Raw genomic sequence first — 19,617 nt, 5'->3', positions numbered from 1 at the left:
GGTGTAACCAACTGAACACTACAACTCTCAGAGGGAAAACAATAAACAGAAAAAGACGCATCTGTGTGTGCCGAGAAGTACTGGAGATTTCATACCACTTCCTGGATAAGTTTTTAAAAAGGAGTACAAAGGATGGCAGAAAAACTTTAAAAAAAATGTAGTAGGAGATTTAAAACACACTTGACAGCTGAGCATAGCACAATTGCGATGGCTGAAAGCTGAGTCATTGTGGATCAAGCCCATGCAACCTGGAATATAGGAAGAAAAGAACCGAGAGGTAAACAAGATGAGAGGACAGGGATTGATGATGGCTGGCAGGGATCAAAAATCTCAATCAAAAAATGTTTGGCATTTCTGTGCAGGATATCAACTATCCGTCCATTCATTTCTCCATTCATTCATTCATTTGAAAATATACATGAGGCAATTTCTATCTTCCAGGCATAGTGTTAGGCTGTAGGGAAGAACTTAATGAGTAACACAAAAGTATCCTGCTGTCATGGGGTTTTATTTCTAATAGGAGAAGAAACATCATAAACAAGCAAACAACTGAAGAAATAGGATATTGTGAGATAGTGACAAATGCTTTAAAGTAAATAAAACAAGGTAAAGTGTTAAGGGAGACTCTGGAAACTCCCTTTAGATCATGCAATCAGGGTCAACCTGTGTGGGATAGCAGAGCACTGAATGTCGAGAAGGGGAATGAGCCACAGGAAGGTAAATGAAAAGGGAGATGGTCCTAGGTACAGAAAAAAGGGGACACAGAGGTGCTGGGTGGGGACTGTGCCAGCAATTAGTGACACTGGGCATCATTTGGGAGACCCAGACCCAAGGGTTTATAAAGACCTGCATATGTAAAGATGAGACTCCAAAATGTTTACCAGATCCATACCCAAACTGATTCTGTTGGTGTTTTAATAAAAGAAAAATCGTATATGCATTTATTTAGTTTGCGTGAGTCATCCGATGATCACCTACAAAGGCAAACAACACTAGACTTATACTTTGCCTCAACGTTAAGTGCTAAAAAGCTTATCCAGCACAGCTCTAGAATTTTGGAGTAGGAAATTTGAGGTCTAAGAATTACAGTTAGTCAAATTGTTTTACATTATCATCAGATATACAAGTGCTTTGAAAAAACATCAACCTGGTATCTTTTTGGAAGATAATGTTGGCAAAAGAAATAAATTCTATTGCTGAGTATTGGGAAGTATTAGGTATTATATAAAATATATACATAATTGGTTAAACAGAAGGTTTTCAACAGACCTAACTTCTAGAATTTTTCCTTGAGTGAATTAAAGATCATCTCAGCAAAACATATCCTGTTGTATTGGCCACAGTAAAATCTCTGTTCAACAAATGTTGTTCGTGATCGTATTAGAAGTTTAAAAGTAAGCGGTTTCAGCACGAATTTTTTTCTTGTTACATGAACATTATTGTAACAATACCATAGAAATGTATCAGGAACAGCCTTTTTTTAGACAATATATACATTAAATTATGATCTCTGATACAAAAATATCACAAGAGTGTGTTCTAGTTACTATGACTATGTGACAAACCACTTAAAATGTAGCAGCTTAAAGCAAAATCAACATTTATTTATTTTTCTCAAAAATCTGCCATTGGGGAGGGTCTACATGATGACACCATGTCTCTGCTTCTGCTGGAGGAGGCTGAGCTGGCTCAAGGCTGGGCACTGCAGTGGTTTTAAGGCTTGCAGACTCACAAAACTGGTGTTACTACTGGGGATAGCTTGGGCTCCTCAACTTCTCCCCCTCTATGTGGCGTCTCCAGTCCAGTAGCAGCAGAATGAACACTCATTATGTGAGACTTCTGGACTCCCTTTGTGCATAGCCCAAGGGAGACGTTATGGTTTGAATGCTGGTATCCTTCCAAATTCATATATTGAAACCCTACCCCACCAATGTGATGGTATTAGGAGGTGGGGCCTTTGAGAGCTAATTAGGATGAGATGAGGTTATGAGGATAGAGCCCTCATGAAAAGGATTAGTGGCCTTACAAGAGTCACAACAGAGCTTGTTACCTCTTTTGCTCTCTCCCTACCACCTGGAAACACAGCCAGAAGGTGGCCATCTGCAAGTCAGGAAGAGAGCTCTCATCAGAACCTGACCATGCTGGCTCCTGGTCTCAGACTTCCAGCTTCCAGACTGTGAAGAATAAATGATGGCTGTTTCTAAGCCACCCAGTTACAGTAATTTGTTATAGTAACCCCAACGGACCAAGATGTCAGAGAGGGAGCAGGAGGAAACCTATGTGACCTACTCTTGGAGGAAGTCAGGCAGGATACTTTGCACCCTCTTTCATAGAATGCTCCAGAGTGTCAGCAAACATTCTGGGAAGGGTGTGAAATTCTATCTGATCAGAGCCCTGTTAAAGGCCTTACAAAAGAATTTTAACATCTTTGGTGCCTGAAGGAAAATGTTAAAAGTAAAACACCCAAATGCAATGCTGACAGGTATTTCTTTTGTGATTTTACTTTTCTCAATTTTCTTTTTTTCTTTTTTTTTTTTTTTTGAGACGGAGTCTCGCTCTGTCGCCCAGGCTGGAGTACAGGGGCGCGATCTCGGCTCACTGCAAGCTCCGCCTCCCGGGTTCACGCCATTCTCCTGCCTCAGCCTCCCAAGTAGCTGGGACTACAGGCGCCCGCCACTACGCCCGGCTAATTTTTTGTATTTTTTTTAGTAGAGACGGGGTTTCACCGTTTTAGCCGGGATGGTCTCGATCTCCTGACCTCGTGATCCGCCCGCCTCGGCCTCCCAAAGTGCTGGGATTACAGGCGTGAGCCACCGCGCCCGGCCCTCAATTTTCTTAAACATCATTCTTTTTCCAACACAAAAAGAATGAAAATTAGAAATGACACAGCTACGTAAGCCTTTCCTTAATGCCTGCTGCTAACGATTCCCCTACGCCCCCTCTCCAGTCTTTCTCTTCATGTATCCTATTTCTTTATCATCCAAATCCATGTATTTCTTAACAATAATATACAATCTACAGGCAGTTTGACATAAGCTGATATCAAGCCATGAGGAGGTAAAACACGTAATGGAAAGATGTATGTTCCCATCTGTCATTCACCAGGTGCATGAACTTGGGAAGTCTATCTAACTCCTTTGAGACTCCTTATTCATGAAAGGAAACTCAAACTGCCTAACTCACTGAAATATTGTGAGGATTAATCAGATAATTTATATACAATTGCTGGAGAATGCATACATACAAAAAGTAGGTACCCAATAAATATTGCCTGGATTTAAAGCTTTACCATGCTTCACATAGGCCAAAATGACTTCTGTATTTTTCTAGGTGATGGATCATTAATGTGGACTCAGCAGAGCAACAAATTTGAAACTAGCACAATTGTCTGTTCTTTGCATTCGTAGAAAACATACATTAAACATCAAGGTACAACACTAAAAATAGGGCAACATTTTAGCTATTATAACTCTGCACTGGAATTTCCTATTTTAGAGCAAAATGGTACACTTCCATTTACCCGGATAACATTCATCTTGTAATCACCAATTTCAAAAGGTGATAATTAATATGTAGCTTTCAACAAGCTTGACATGAGAAAAAGCACCAATTAGTCAACATGGTGCTCCAGGTACAGAATGCCAGGAGCCATGCTACATAGGGTGTGCAAAGCCCTTTGTATTCCAGCAGAATCAGACTCATTCTCACTAATGACAAGGGAGTCCATTGTGAGTTAGCAAATTTCACAAATTAGCAAGTAAGAAAAAAACATAATTAAAAGAATTAGGGACACTGAATCATGGTGTGTGCAGTGTTCATTTATTTTGACAAGTATAATTTAATTTTACTTATTTATGGTAATATTTCATAGTATACTAATGAATGCACTCTTGTCTCTTTTGTAAATGTAATGAAATATTAGTAATATGAGACCTCAGTGCTGCTCTCTGTTATGAAATTGCTCCTGACAGGTGAGGTAGGACCACCACAGTTGGGTTTGCACTGGAATGGTAATTGCATTGGTGGCATAGCGGTGTGAAAGTGAGTGAGTATTCACTGAGGGACTAACATGAAGGTGTGCAAAGTTCACTGCTAAGTGAATACACAAAATTTAAAGAGACATATTAGGTGTAATGTTTATAGTAGTCTTCTGGTACACTCTAAAACTATTTCTTCTTTGGGAAATTGGAATCACCATTTTTTAAAAAGGCATTTTTATATGCTGAGAAGCACTACTTCTTCCAGAGTCTTATTTCTATCAAAGAATCCCTCTTTCTCCAAGACAAGAAGGCTGAAAAACTTAGAAATAGTCTTTTCTGTTTCATTTTCTCCCCTACACATTCATTGACAATTCCTCACCGTTCTTTTCCTTTTTCTTTTCCTTTTTTTTAAAGACAGGGTCTCCCTCTGTCACCCAGGCTAGAGTGCAGTGGTGTGATCATGGCTCACTGAAGACTTGACCTCCTGGGCTCAGGTAATCCTTCCATCTTATCCTCCAGAGTAGCTGGGACTACAGGCATGTGCCACCACCTTTAATGTTTTTGCATTTTTCATAGAAATGGGGTTTTACCATGTTGCCCAGACTGGTCTCAAACTCCTGGACTCAAGAGATCTGCTCACCCTGGCCTCCACAAGTGCTGGGATTATAGGACTGAGCCACTGCACCTGGCCACCTTTTTTGTTTGTTTGTTTGTTTTTAGCTTTATTGGTGTATCATTGACGAATTGAAATTTTATTTATTTAACTTGTACAAGGTGTTGTTTTTATATATGTATACATTTTGAAATATCCCCACAACCCAGCTAATTAATACATCTATTGCCTCACCTAGTAACCAGTGGATAGGGCTGTATGCTAGTAGGACAGACACTTTCTATGGTGTCTGAAAATCATATATCCACTCTCTCCCCATGTTAACTTTCTGGACTTGACTTGTTTCTGGATCTCTCATATCTCTCTACATGCTTGCTCCAAGTCTACCTTCCTAGTTTTCTTCTTGTTTGCTTTAAATTTTATTATTGACCAGTATTATATAGTTATATCTTGCTACTGTTATTCTCACTGCATGTAGACTTGGTTTTTAGCTGTTCTGGAGTGTTTCTGACTTACCTTCATCCCAGCCCTGACATTCCTCTTGAGCTCCAGGCACTGGTGGGTGGTTAACTAGCCCACTCCTCCTGAGTGTCTCATTGGTGTCTCATACTGAAATTGACTCACACTGAAATCATGATGTCATCTCTAAACAGTGTCTTTTTTTTCCTGTATTCCTTGGTTTAACAACCAGCATCATTTCCATGCAAGGTAGCCAAAGCAGACTCCAACTCCCCTAACTCCAGCGACCTGCTCAGCCCCATTTATGTGCTTCTTCCATAACTTGAGAGTCTATCATCACTGTTTAGCCCAGTCCTTCAGTGCCTCTTTTCTTTTTCTTTAGCGTCCTCTCAGCTTGTCGGATTCTTTCCTCCCATGAAGTCCATCCTTTCACACAGCCATCGAAGGGCACTAGCTCAGTCTCAAGGTTCCTCTCGAAGCTTCTCAGTTGAAATCTTCAACAGCTCCTCAAGTCCTTGAGTAAAAGCCCAAGTTTTTGCTGTAGAATGAGAAGTCCTTCATGATCTTCTAAATTCTGTTTTTCTCCTACTTCAATTCCCACTATTCATCCAACAGGTCCTTACACTGCTCAAATGCCACCTTCTCTGAATTTAACTCCTACTTCCAAGACTCATAAACAAATCTCTCTCCCAATTCTCAGGATGCTGTCCTATAACTGTCTACTACTTGTCTTCCTCCCCCACTGGATTGTGTATTTCAAGAGCAAGAATCTTGTCTTATGGATCATTTTAGCCCTGGTATTTTTTTTTCCTGTGTCTGGCACATAGCAGACATTGCTTGTGTGAGTAAGCAAATAAATTGATTATATTATTTCATAGTTTCCTGATATAACACCAAGCTAAAATAAATTGCTGTCTTTTATCACATATGATCTAATTTCTAATCTCACATTTGGACAGTATATTTGGCTCTGTGTCGAGCCTACTGGCATCTTTAACCAGGCAGCACCTGGCAAAACAGAAACAAAATAATGCAACAGAAGAAAAAGAAGTAAAAACTCAGCCAGGGCCCGAGTTGCCTCCTCATTCACTGCCTCCTGGATTCACTATCCCACCATTTAACACTTGAACTTTCAGCTGCTGAGATTTGGAACGAGGATGCTTAATTAGTCAACAAGACATGACAACATTCTGTTACAGTGAGATTACATACACCTATGGGTGTTAGGAGACACGTAGTAAAACCCAGCAACTTCAGAGACCTGAAAAGAGTGTTATCTTCCGGCAGCACATGGGAGAATGCTCCAAGAGATAAAACACACAAGACGAATGGTGTCTCTAATTGAAAAGCAATGGAAGAATGGAGCCCGTAGAATTCCAAATACATTTTCCCTCCCAGTGTCCCTAGATGAGTATGGTGAGCTGGATTAACAAAGAGTTGTGAATATCTTTAAATAGAGAAAATAATGTACATTTCTAAAGGGACTGACTCCAGGGACCATAAAAATCTGTGCAGACATCACATCACTGTATTATAATTTCTATTCCGTTTATAATTCATTATTTATTCCACAGTATTAATGCAAGATGCATATGTCTTTATTGGTTAAAGGAGGAGAAGGATGTTTAGGAACCTCTGGGAATTCCTTTCCACATAATGATGCTTCTAATTGTGGTACAACTCAGAGTAGAACAGAAAATTGATGCTCCACAGGTTCGGGAACAGGTTCCCATGGCCTTAGGAGTGCAGAGCTGATCTCTGTGTAACCCAGTTGACCCAGATTGGATCTGTCTTTCTTGTACTTTGCCACCTTCACATCAGCGACTTCTTCAGGGGGATCTATGTGGGCACCTCTCTTTTGGCTGACTATGCTAGTTTGACCATAATGGCATAAAGCACACTCTACAAAGCATTTTCCTCCCCAGTCCTGGAGGCAAGCAGAGCAAAGCACCTTTGAATGTTAGCTTCCTTACCAGTCATTGATTGAATAAACATTACGGTCAGCTGTGTCCAGACTCTGGCGAGAGAACAGAGAAGATGTTCCAGTGAGGGAGCTGACAATAACCCTGTCAGCAAATAGGCATATGACACAAGCATCAGTGCAAAGAAAGCCTAAGAAAATAGGGCTACAGATGGGGAAGAAGGGTATATTGAGAGTCAGATGATCAGAGTAGTTCTGAGAAAGCAATGTTAAAGCAATGATACAATAAAGTAGCTATGGAAAAAGCTATGTGACACCAGCCCACCGAACATTTCTCCACCCTCCACACCCAGAACCTTATACCTCCTCTCCTTCTCTTCTGGGGTTTCCACTTTGCCAGTACAAGTCCAAGGCTCTAACAGACCTCAGCCTCAACCTCTCTCTCACTCTCCCTCTCTCTACTCTCAGGAGACTGTCTGTGGAAAACACTAACACCATGATCATAATTAAATTGATACGGCCCAGCCGGGTGCGGTGGCTCATGCCTGTAATCCCAGCATTTTGGGAGGCCGAGGTGGGCAGATCACCTGAGGTCGGGTGTTCGAGACCAGCCTGACCAACATGGAGAAACCTCATCTCTACCAAAAATGCAAAATTAGCCGGGCATGGTGGCACATGCTTGTAATCCCAGAAACGGGAGGCTGAGGCAAGAGAATTGCTTGAACCCAGGAGGCAGAGGTTGCGGTGAGCCAAGATTGCACCACTGCACTCCAGCCTGGGCAACAAGAGTGAAACTTCATTTCAATCAATCAATCAATCAATCCATCAATAATTATATGGCCAAAGCCTTGGCATTCAGAAAGGGTGATTTAAAATTTCTAAATCTCTTCTCTCTCTACAAAGTTTGACTTTCAAAACTAAGTCTGACTAAGGAGATCAAGAAAATCCACCTTTAAAATATAGAATTCATCAAGACACTTTGTTCTCAGATGAGAATCGACTCCCTCCTGCTGTGGGCAACACCCTCTGTGGCTCATTCTTGGGAGGAACAGGCTAGAAAGGAACATAATTTCAGGGGCAAATAAAAACATATCAATTTACTATCCTTCCAAGTTTATTCTATTATTCTGTGTGTCTCTAAGCAAGGACTCAGCCAGGCACAAAGACTGTCATCTTTGTCCTTAAAAGATGCCTTTACTTCTCCTGTAGAAAGGGGAAGGAGACAGGCAGCCAAGGAGTCAGGTTCAATGTTGTCTTTATTCATATGGGCTCCATGAGCAACTTCTTACCTACTGGCGTCTTCCACAGTGAAGTTGTTGCCGTCCACAGGCAGTGAAGGCTGGAATGACTCCCCTTCCTCCTGATGAATGAACTTTTACAGGGAATCAGAAAAGGCTTCTTTCAGACACTCATTCCTAGTTTACAATAGGGGAATCCATTTGCCTCAGAGCTCAGTGAGGTGGAGGTAGAGAGGTGGTCCATAGCAAATCTAAACAACTTCCACACTCTATAAACAAGCAGGGACTGGTTACTTGGCCATTTGAGATGTCCTTGGGAATGGACTTTAATTTAAGCAGTCAAGGTAAACCCCAGCCTCCCTGATGACTGTTGAGAAGTCTGCTATCAGACTAATTTGTTTTTCTTTATTGGGAGTCTGTTTTATCTCAGGGTGTGTGTGTGTGTGTGTGTGTGTGTGTGTGTGTGTGTGTGTGTTTAATCATGTCTTGTATTGGGTAGCATGTAATTTCACTGTAATGAGTTTAGGTATGTACTCAATAGGACTTATTTTTCTTAGGACTTACTAAGATTCCTGATTCTCCAGACTCCATTCTTTCATAAGTTGTGGGAAAAAATATTTATTATTTCTATGAATATTGGTTCTCTTCCACTTTTTTCTGTTTTCTTTCTTTGGTCCTCTAATTAGAGGTAGGTTTATAACAGGTAACCTATGAGGTTTCTAACAGGTAAACTATGAGGTTTCTAACAGGTAAACTATGAGGTAAAATCTCTGTATCTCTTTTTGTTCAATATGGGATAAATTATTCTAATCTATTCTACCACCCATTAATTCTTTTTTTCATGGGCATCATATGTGCTGTTCCTCTCATTTGAATTATCCCAATTTCAACGATTACATTTTTAAAGGGTTCCATTTGATTTTTTTCTAAAATCTATCTTGTATTTTGAAGCATCCTTTGTCTTTTCTGACAACTACGTTTCCTTTTTAAAACGTCTTTAAGCATTTTAAGCATACTTGTTCCACATGAATTTGGGGTGTGGGGATGCCAGGGAGTTCATTTTTCAGGAGTGGTTTGCATGTGTTTCCAGCAGGTGCGCCAGAGGTTCACAACCTTGATAATCTCAGTTCCAGCCCTAATCCTTTATGAGTTAGGTCCATGGTAACAAATGTTCAGGGAAGTTCCCGCCGCCTGTATTTTACTCAATCCCCGCTGACACCCACGTAGACACAGCCTGGGATTCATTCCAGCCCTCTGAGCTAGTAGGCAGGTTTTTTTCTTGCATACTTTTCAGTGAGGGTGTAGCCCAGCCAGGGCCAGGCTTAGTTGGGTAGGTGGAGCAGAAGGTGGGAGTAAGTTTTGATTTCTGACCCAAGGATTCAAGCACCCAACTTTTGTCTCCTGTGGTGATTGCCCCCAATTCCCCAATGCACAAATTGGAAAAGCATTCCTGTCCCCTGCATTCCTGTGTCCTCCCAGTATCTCCCGACACTTTGTTCTTCCCTCTGGCTGCTCAGAGTCCCTCTCCGGAACTCAGCCAAGCATTCAAATAATGCTTCTAGTCATGCACACAGAATTTCCAGGAGGTGTCAGAGGCAGCACCTTCAGGATACCTGCTACCACATTGTCGAAGTTGAAATAAAAGGAAATTGTTATAATTATTTTCTGTAGGGATCTCTGCAAAATTTCTAATGATACAAATACATTAATAGCATGTAATTCTCAAACTAAATAAAACAACCACTTTCTCAATGTATTATATTTTCCTTTATGTGTAATTATACTTTTATAAAATATTCACTCTGACGTGAAAAAAGCAACTTTCCATTTATTTGAAAACCAACATAGGATGATTATTTTATTTCATGAAATGTAATTGATTTTATTTGGGTCTGGCAACAATGCCTTGAGGTAGGTTTCATTTTGATTTGTTTTCTAAGAGAAAAAACTGAAAGTCAAAATAAAATGAAAAGGGAAGTTTTTATTTTCAAAATGAAATGAAAAGTCAAATTAAAATGAGCAATTCTTTCAAAATTCTAATGTTTGCATATGGCAAAGGTAAGGTCTGAACCAAGGTCTGTCTAAATCCAAAGTCAGTTCTTCTTTCGCCAGTGAGATTCCTGTTGACCTCCTTCAGGAATCCCCTGACACTCCAAGAATTCTGCCCAGACCTACTCAGGCACCATCAGTAGAGATGAGAATGGATACAATTTTCAAAAAGCCTTCCAGGCAATCCTTTTCCACTCAGGTTTGATAAACATTGCATGCTATCATGCTGTTTTTGTATGTATGACTTAAATCAGCTCTTTTTAACTAGAGATTTTATGTGAGGGTAGTCAAATCCCCTGGAGAATATCAACTACAATCCATTATTTTGTTCAAGTTGCAGAAAACAATAGTATGTGGAAGACCCGGGTGGTCAGAGTGAGGCTGGTCTTGTATGGATTGATGGAGATTGATGGGGCACTGAGGAATTTATGGGGAGAGGAGGCTTCTTTTTGAGGTTGCCACTCATCTCTACCAAGAATTTGTTTCCATGCTTGCCATTTTCTCATGCCTTTGAATTTTTACGTAATCTGGTAGTCTGGAGTACTTCAGATCTGAGCCAAGAAAGGATGGTGGGGGTAGGTGGCCAGAGAATGAAACAGAGGTGACACGTGTTTGAGGAAAGTGGATGCGGGAAAGAGAGAGACCAGAGGAGGGAGGCAGAGCTTCCACAGGATGACTCTAGTCCAGAGAATCAGAGGGTGAATCGCTACCTTGAAAAATTTCTTGCTCTGTCTGAATCTTCATCTCCTCATTTGTGGAATGGGGATAAAAAACACTGCCTTGAAGAAGAAAATGAATGGAATGTGCTTTGAGGAGAATGGGGTAATGATGCTGATTGTGTCCTTGGAGCAAATAGGAACACAGCATGGTAGTGATGACGGCAAGGATGCCATTTCCCCTGGCTCAGACCAGTTAGGGAAAGGAGAGGTTGCAGGGGGCTTTATCTGAGGCCTTGCGATATTAGTCACACAGAAGCTCCCCAGAACCATCTCCATGTTCAGCACTGCCCACCTACCTCATTCTACTCTGAGCCTGCACCAAGCTACACATGAGAAAGGGTCAGACATCCCGAGTTCAAGGCAAGTGAGAGGGCTTGTGATAAGCCCCTTACTTGCACTTACAAGACCAAACTGCCTGAAGCATGGGGCATATCACCTGCAGCATACAGCGCACAGCACTACAAGAGGCCTTGAAAATGTACTTTGCCAAGCCTGGGAGAGGAAAGGCATTCCTAGTGGAGGGACATGTGCAAAGATGAAAAGGCCTGAAGGCAGCCTCTTGGGGATGGGCCATGAGTGTTGAAGAGAGGGGAATAGCGACTAGGAATCTGCACAGGTGCATGGAGTGGTTGACAGCACATTTGCAAAGCCTCGAGTGCCCTGCTAAGAAGCTTATTTTATATGTGCTGGAAAATAAGAGCTTTATATATGAAAAACAAGTCTAGGGGCAGAGTGGAAGACAGACTGGAGAGTAAGGGGGTACCTGGATATAAGAAACCCATTAGGTGCATTAGAAATCACATTGGCAAGAATTGATGAATACCTAAACTTGGGCAATGGCGGTGCATGAGAGGAAAGGGGGATTCCAGAAATGTTTCAGCAGAAGAAGAAGCAGATTCAGTAAACAGATTAAGGGAATTTAGGGTCTGTGTTTGTGTGTGTGTGTGTAGGGACTGGATCGCCAGTTTGGGCTAATTGTGAGAATGCCATAGATTACACATAGGTAATTTGGAGAAGACGCAGGATGTGAAGGACAGATCAGAAGTAGAGCAAGCAAGGACACTTACTTTATTTGGATGGTTGGAGGTCGTGATGCCTGCAGAATGGGACAGAGCTGACCAGCAGGCTTTGAAACTGTCCAGGATTCAACAGAGAGGGATGAGCTCCCTAACAGTGTTTTACAAACACCAGAAGACAATTGGAAATTCAAGTCTTAGGTGTTGTGATGGTTTAGTTGATGTGACTGGTCTTAGGGATGCCCAGATACCTGGTAAAACTTTCCTACTGAGCATACCTGTGAAGGTCCTTCTGGAAGAGTTTGGCATTTGATTCAGTAAGCTGAGCAAAGAAGATCACCCTCACCAATGTGGATGGGCACCATGCAATCTGTTAAGTGCTTGAATAGAACAAAAAGGTAGAGGATGGGTGAATTTCCTCTCTGCTTGACCTGAGACATCCATCTTCATCTGTCCTTGCATGTCAGTGATCCTGGTTCTCAGGCCTTTGGGCCTGGACTGGAACACCACCACCAGCTTTGCTGGGCCTCTAGCTCTCAGGTGGCAGACGGTGGGACTTCTCTGTCTCCACCATTACTTGAGCCAATCTCTCATCATAAATATCTTTCTGCATATTCCTATATATGCTATTGGTCCTGTTTCTCTGGAAAACTCTAATACAGGTGTCAATGAGATATCCAGGAAAAGGGAGAGCCTTAGGGGAAGTAATGCAATTGGAAGAATTGTGAAACATGGCCAGTCTTAAGAAGCAGACAACCAGTGAGCATGATTAAAAAGCTACTCTAAGAAGAAACACCTACAGGGGAAAGAGGAAAGGCAGAAGACATAGAGGGGATAAGTGTCTGGGTGTGTTGTGCTCGCCCTTCTAACCACTACTCAGCCCTGGGAATGGAGAAGGGATGGGGAAGACTTGGCATATTCCAGCTCTGACCTAATGCTTAGGCCAGTCCTGTGTCATGAGGCCCAACCTGATGCAAACCGGAGAAACAGCCACAAATCAGCAAGATTGAGTGCTTTTCCTACAGAGAAAATTCTGCTAGGACCCTACAAAATGGGTTGTGTGTCTGTGCATTGGGGCATGCAGTGTGCACATGTGTGTCCCTACGAAATGGGTTGTGCGTGTGTGCACTGGGGCATGCAGTGTGCACATGTGTGTCCCTACGAAATGGGTTGTGCGTGTGTGCACTGGGGCATGCAGTGTGCACGTGTGTCCCTATGAAATGGGTTGTGTGTGTGTGCACTGGGGCATGCAGTGTGCACATGTGTGTCCCTACGAAATGGGTTGTGCGTGTGTGCACTGGGGCATGCAGTGTGCACATGTGTGTCCCTACGAAATGGGTTCTGCGTGTGTGCACTGGGACATGCACAGTGTGCACATGTGTGTGCACACGTCTGTTTAGTTTGTGAAATTGAATCCCTGACTTCAAACCTTGTTTTATCATGGAATTGAACAGATTTCTGCCCAGAGATAAACAGGTCCTGCCTGGATGTTTGATGCTTTTGTCTCTACCTATTCATCACCTCTGTTTCAAGGAATGGTATGCGCCATTTGAAAAATCAGATCTTTCTTAACAGATCTTTGTTTGTTTGTTTGCTTTTTCCAGCCACCAGATTAGTTTACACTCTGGGAGAAGGTAGATACATTTTGTTATCTGAAAAAGAGAGATAATGATCAGCTCGCAGTCTCCAAAATAGTTAACAAATGACCGTAACTGTACACAATTTATTTGAAATGCTAAAAATCATCAGGGTTTTTCAATGAGCATTTTTTTTTCTGAATACCTTCAACTGAATCATATTTTTGCTTTTAAGAATGGATTTTCAAAATGGAATTATGTGTGTCTCTGCTTTTCTTTAGGCAGTGGTGATAAATCTGTGCCTGCGAGTCTTTTATCTGAATAATTAAAATGATGTAATAAAAACGACCTCTCAGCCCCATAGACCCAGTGAGCTTTGGGTTGATAATGGAATAATCAAATAATCAGAGAACAAGGCCATTCATAGAGTTCCCGAGGAAGCGAGACCAGTGCACGGTGAAAGGTGATGTCAGGGACGATGTGGGGAGACAGAGGCAGAGGGAATCACAGCCCCCAGCACCAAGTGCAAGGTAGGACCAGAGATCATGTGTGTGACAAGGAGTCATGCATGGTGGGTGGGGAGAGGCATAGGGGAAGTGGTTGCAGAGAGAAGACCAGGCTTGGAGGAGCAGGTGTCTAATGGGGGAACGCATCAGGGGGCAGTTTCTTGGAGGGGGAGAACCACTTCACACTGTTTGCTCCATTTATAGCATCTCAGAGCATGGAGTCATTTTTCAAGCAAAGTAGCTGAGACAAGGATCTCTGACTTGCACTTTCTTTGTACGCCTGCACAAATTCTTAATGACCTTAGCTTCCCTATTCATAACATGGGCCACTTCTTCAACGGGGCACAAGGGCACTAAGGGATGGGTCGCTGGGAATCAGCCACTGTAGTTTGGATAATTTGAGCCACGGCAGGCACCAGAGGAACCTGGGCCAGGCTGGTTTCACCGCAGCCTCCCTTAGTTTTGGAGACAGCAGACACGGGTGGGAGAGGGAGACAGCACAATCAGTCCTCTCCCTGAAGGCACAGAAACATCTGTGAAGAGGACAGGGGACAGGCCCTCAAGCAAGGCCCCACACAGTTCTGGCAATAACATGGATTCCAAGGTGGTAGATGACGGCACGGGCTCACGCCCATGCGAATGGGACCAATTGGCAGAATGGAATAAGCACAGAACCACCCAAAATAACAACCACTGCAGTAACACCAAACAGAACTGGGTTGTTCAGAAAATGACAGAAGCCCATGTTACCACCATTAATTGTTTGTTACATGCTGCTGCAGAAAATAAAATTATTTTGGTAGAGGGAAATATTGTGTGTCCCAGCTTTCAGACACAGATGCAGTTTGGCGACAAAATAGAGATTAGGTCAATAAAGGGCCCTCTGGTCTTCATGCCTTGTGTCCAGGGCTGGCCGTGTGCCTGATATTCTTAGAATGAATGCTATGGATGACCTTCTTCCTTTGATAAATGAAATTGCTTGGCTCACACACTTTTTAATGTGGTTTTTATAGAGTCTTTCAGAGGAAAGGAGAAAGAGAAAGCGCGAGCGAGTCTGTGGCTGCCTTTCTTGAAAAATCACTGTGGGCCACAGCGGAACTCTGAAAGTGACAGTGTGAAGTCATTCTTGTGCTTGCCGTTTTGGATGGCAGATGGGAAGCAGGTGCGTTTCTGCAGGATGAGCTGAAGAAGAGGGGCTTAATTAAAGAACACGCTCACGGCATCCAAAAGATCTTGAATTGCCACCGTGTGGGCCTGCCTTTCCCCTTCCCCAGAATCTTTTTAACTCTTTTCATGGTGGGTCATTGTCCTCCCTGCAGCCCAAAGCAATGAGGCCGGGGCTATTATTTTCCTTGTGGACAAATGGCTCTGCAGAGCTGGCTGCCGGGCCAATGGAGCCTTCTGTGGCCACTGTGCAATTGAAATGGTTCTCAGAGAAGGGGCCTCAGCTGCTGCCTGTCTCTAATTGTTGCTGGGACCCAGCCTTCTGGTCAGCTCTGGTCCCTGCCGCTGCTGTCTACACCGACTGTTTTTCCTCCCGGCTTCCAGAGATGAGGCTTCCTTTTGTTCCTCACAGTATTGCACTTTCACGTCCCCTGCAAATGCGGGAGTTGATCTCTTTTCCGTTGTGCGAAGTCTCTGGGGGCCTCTGTTGCTCTGCTCACTACTGTCCGAAGGTGAGCTTCTTGCCACTCCTCTCCAGCCTGCCTGTGTGGGTTGCCTCATGAGCTGTGATTCAAAAGATGACAAGGAGGCACTGGAAGGAGCCCCGGAGGCCCTGGGGTCTACCGTCTGGTTGTAGGGACAGGAACATTTGAGGTCAGGAGGGGAGAGACTTTGCAGGATAATTCTGGGGCAAATCCAGGCATACGCCAAAGAATGCTGATTCCCAGTGCCTGAAAGGGGGGAAGGTTTTCGCAGCTTCCAGGAGAGGCGCCTGGTGGTAAGGAAGGGTGGGCCCACCACACTGGGACTGGGAGCCACCCCGAGGGAGAAAGTGCTGCAGTCAGACCTGCTGCTAGAGCCTGGGTCTGGGCCACATTGCCTCCAAGAACAGGATGACTCCTACCTGGCTGGCCTCTAGACCAAGTGAACTAGAAACAGGAGAAGCGCCCCTGCATCCAGTGAGCAGTGTTTCTGGAGGGCGTTGGTAGGGAGGAAGGTGGAGGTTCCAACTCACACTTTCCTCCAGGACCTGACCATCACAGAAGCTCCTACCAATGTAGCTTCCATATTTCACTGCCTAATTCTGGATTATTGATGAAAGCAAAACAAACATTATTTATTAAGCAACTGTTTACAACTGAGACCCAGGGAAGTGACATAATCTAAGATTACGTAACTAATTAGTGGCGGAGGTAACACCCTGTTATATCATCTCCTTATTTTAAAACAATTGCAAAGCATTGCAAACATTTCAAATAAGCACATCTCTGGCATTTTATGACCTTTTTATGCTTAATTCAAAAGAATGTACTTGCTTTAAATAAACATTAAGGACATGAAATACATTGATATATACACAAAAGACTGTTTATAATTCTTATGTATTAAGCTCCCATTGTGTGCTATGTGTTTTTTTATTTTCCTGCATAAGCAGCATTCTCTGCTGCAACCCAGCAAGGTAGGCATTATTGCCCCTGTTCTGCAGCTGAAGAAGCTCTCACTAAGAAGGATGAAAGCAGAAAGGCTGGGAAAAGATCCCCCACAAAGCAAATAAAGACATGGGAAGGAACACCCAGATCTGCCTGGCTTCAAAGCCAGTGGTAGTAACTTCCCTAGTGTGAACGAGCTCATCCAGGGATAAGGTTTATTTAGGAACAAAAGAGAAATCCCACCGAATCATTCCTACAGATTTTTCTTTCTTAGTCTAAGGAGTGATAGGAAAAACCGTAAAGAATGGGAAACGGTCAAGCAGAATTGGCAAGTGTTCTTGAGTCAAGACCCCTCATGAAAAGGATAAGCCATTCTCTCTGCCCAAATGTGATTCCTGTAGCTGGGTCCCAGTCAGCACGTTTTCCACTGAAATGCTGAGGAGGGGAGGGGCTCTTCCTGGGGTAGCTGTACACAGCCGTGGTGGCCAGCCTAATTCAAGTTGCACAGCGTGGACATACACACTCTCACGCTGGTGACTCCCAGGCTATTAGTTCAACAGTCCATTGAGTTTGACATCATAGATGGGGGTTGCAGGGGGTGCGCAAGGGAATAATCCGATTTGCAGAGAGGAAAAATTGTTTGTTGTGTATATACTTCCTGTCTTTATTTTCACTACTCTTTTTCACTCAGCGCTTCTAATTTCCACATGTAAACAGAGTCAGTGGAAAGCGCTTATTATCTAACGCTGTACTATCTGAAATTCCCTCTATTATTCTATGGGGCCATGTTGATCAGGACCACCCCTGAATGTAAATGATGCAGTCAGAGGCCTTGCAGTCCTGGGGCCAGGGCGGCATTTTATGTGTGCATAAACACACAGGACGTCCTGCCTACAAACCATTTTGTCCCCAGGGCTAAATATTTAAGTGTCCTCATGGTAATGATCAGAGATAAGACTTTTACCTTGCTGTGATTACAAAAGGGAGTATACATTTGCATCTATTAATAATCACCACCCTTATAAACAGCAACAACAACTTTGAATTTTTCTTGCATATTCATTTAACCTGTACTGAATGCCCATTGTGTGCTTGTACTCACTGGATTTTGTACCATATTATTCTACCCTTATACATACATGTGTAATGTGTGATGTTCATTCTCCTTTGAGGATTTTGGCACTAAAAGCTTTCCTCTATTGGGAAAAATGTGAAAATATTCCTTTGCATCCAGAGTCAACCCATTTGGAAATAGGAGCAAAGCTTCCACAGACTCCATTTTTTCTTTCTATCAAATATCCTTTGTGAGATAAAGCTCCAAGGATGGAAATTAGCCGCTTCTGTCCTGAGAATCTTCCCAACCCTATTCTTTCAAAGGATTGTCCATAAGGCTCTGGGACCACCACAATGCGGACACGCACGGCTGGCTGACGGCCTCGCTTCAATAGAAAGCCTTTTAAAACCTGCTCCCATGGTCCTGAAAAAGACTCTCTTCTTGGGGGCTTAGGCCCCGGGGAAAGGGAGCCAGGGCTCCGGAACTGCTCAGCGCAGCTCACGAACTGTTTTCGTCCACATCTGAGAAGACTCCAAAGCACTAAAAATGATGAGGGGAATTTAAAAATCATGTTTGTTCAAGGGATGGGGGGAAGGAAAGGAACAGAAGACGGAGGCAGGGGAAGAAATTTATAGCAAAAAGGTTACCTCGGCTATTTCTCCACTCTGGGGGTCATCCTAGAAACGTCCCTCCTCCAGACATGGGGGTGGTGCCAGTTGCCAATAATCCTCTCTTCCCGGAAAATAAAAACCAAGCGGTTAGCAAATGTCAAGATAAAAAAGAAAATCAGCTGAACAAGGGAACAGCCAGGATGGGCTGCTCGATGGGCGCCGGCCACGGGAGCCCCAGGTGCAATCAACAGCTCTTTAAGACTGCAGGTCATCATTTCTCTGCTTTGAAAAACCCAGCCATCTCTTGGAGAGTCAAATCGATTAGAGGCCACCTTTTGTGAAAGTGATGCTATTATTGTGGTTGTAATTTATGCAAAGACATTCTGTGGCACACGATGATTAAATTATAGTATAGAAGACAGGATTTCTATAGCGTGTTCCCTCCTCTGGATTTTGCACTTTTATCTACATTCGAATCAGGTCTGTGAAAATTTGGTGCACATGCTTTTCATTCTGGATGACAGAACATTTCCACATGTTTCTGTGTATTTTTGAAGTGGAGAGAACGGTACCGCCACTTGGAGATCCAACTGAGCCTACGAGGCAAAGGCAATGTGATTCTTTTATAAAAAGAAAAGCAGACAGAAAGGGTTATTTCCTGACACTCTTTAGGGGTGAAGCTGTGCAGGTAAAATAAAATAATAAATAAAATACACTGAAAACATAAAAGCATTGTGACTTAGCTCCCTGAACGTCAGAGACATCACCATACAGGATTGCATGTGCAGAAAGGAGACCCAAGGTTAAGATTTGCTTCTTACCTAGACAACACCTCAGCATCCTGCCTTGTGGCCATAACTAGAAAGGAGCTTCCTCTGTCTCCACGTCAGCCACCATTTTAGTGTGGTCTCTGGATACGGTAAGATGGAGGCAGACAGAGAGAAAGCCTGAGGGGCTCCCTCTGCACACGCTCAGCTGTGCCCCGCAGCCCCAGCGCCTCTCCCTAGGTGATGCATTATTCACCAGCCCCCTTCAGCTGAGTCAGGAGGAGCTGAGACAGGACAGCGCCGCGGCGAAAACGCAGACGATGACAAAGCCTGCTTTACCGACGGTCCCGGGGTATTGCAGGGAAAGGCAGCCCCCCTCCAAGGCATTACAATGTGGGCTTTTAATGGGCTATTTGCTATCTAGAAATATTTATGATGCAGCCGCTATTCGTGTGGGGTTGCTTCCTCCCTGGGCTAGCTGCCTTTTCCTCTCTCTCTCCAAATATACAGCCC

At 43.3% G+C, this 19,617-nt stretch overlaps 1 long non-coding RNA gene across 1 annotated transcript, besides 1 other annotated feature; it reads right to left on the bottom strand.

Annotated features, from left to right (window-relative positions):
• Positions 4,607 to 5,806: an enhancer, noted in NCBI's record as "CDK7 strongly-dependent group 2 enhancer chr2:6135557-6136756 (GRCh37/hg19 assembly coordinates)". NCBI's record gives its function as "activates an origin of replication core promoter dependent on BRD2, BRD4, P300/CBP, MED14 and CDK7 cofactors, with strong dependence on CDK7, by STARR-seq in HCT116 cells {active_cell/tissue: HCT116}" and the evidence as "EXISTENCE:reporter gene assay evidence [ECO:0000049][PMID:35650434]".
• LOC400940 (uncharacterized) lies at positions 12,999 to 19,253 on the bottom strand. Its single transcript, NR_026833.1, has 3 exons — positions 19,159 to 19,253; positions 18,374 to 18,933; positions 12,999 to 15,806 (listed from the first exon to the last, which is right to left on the bottom strand). It is a non-coding gene; the product is annotated as an uncharacterized LOC400940 (long non-coding RNA).
• Positions 19,254 to 19,617: the final 364 nt, after the last annotated feature.

The sequence above is a fragment of the Homo sapiens genome, chromosome 2 (assembly GCF_000001405.40).
Source record: "Homo sapiens chromosome 2, GRCh38.p14 Primary Assembly".
In the NCBI taxonomy this organism is placed as follows: Eukaryota; Metazoa; Chordata; class Mammalia; order Primates; family Hominidae; genus Homo; species Homo sapiens.
Note: the sequence above shows the minus strand (reverse complement) of the source record. Positions and strands in the feature narration are given on the sequence as shown.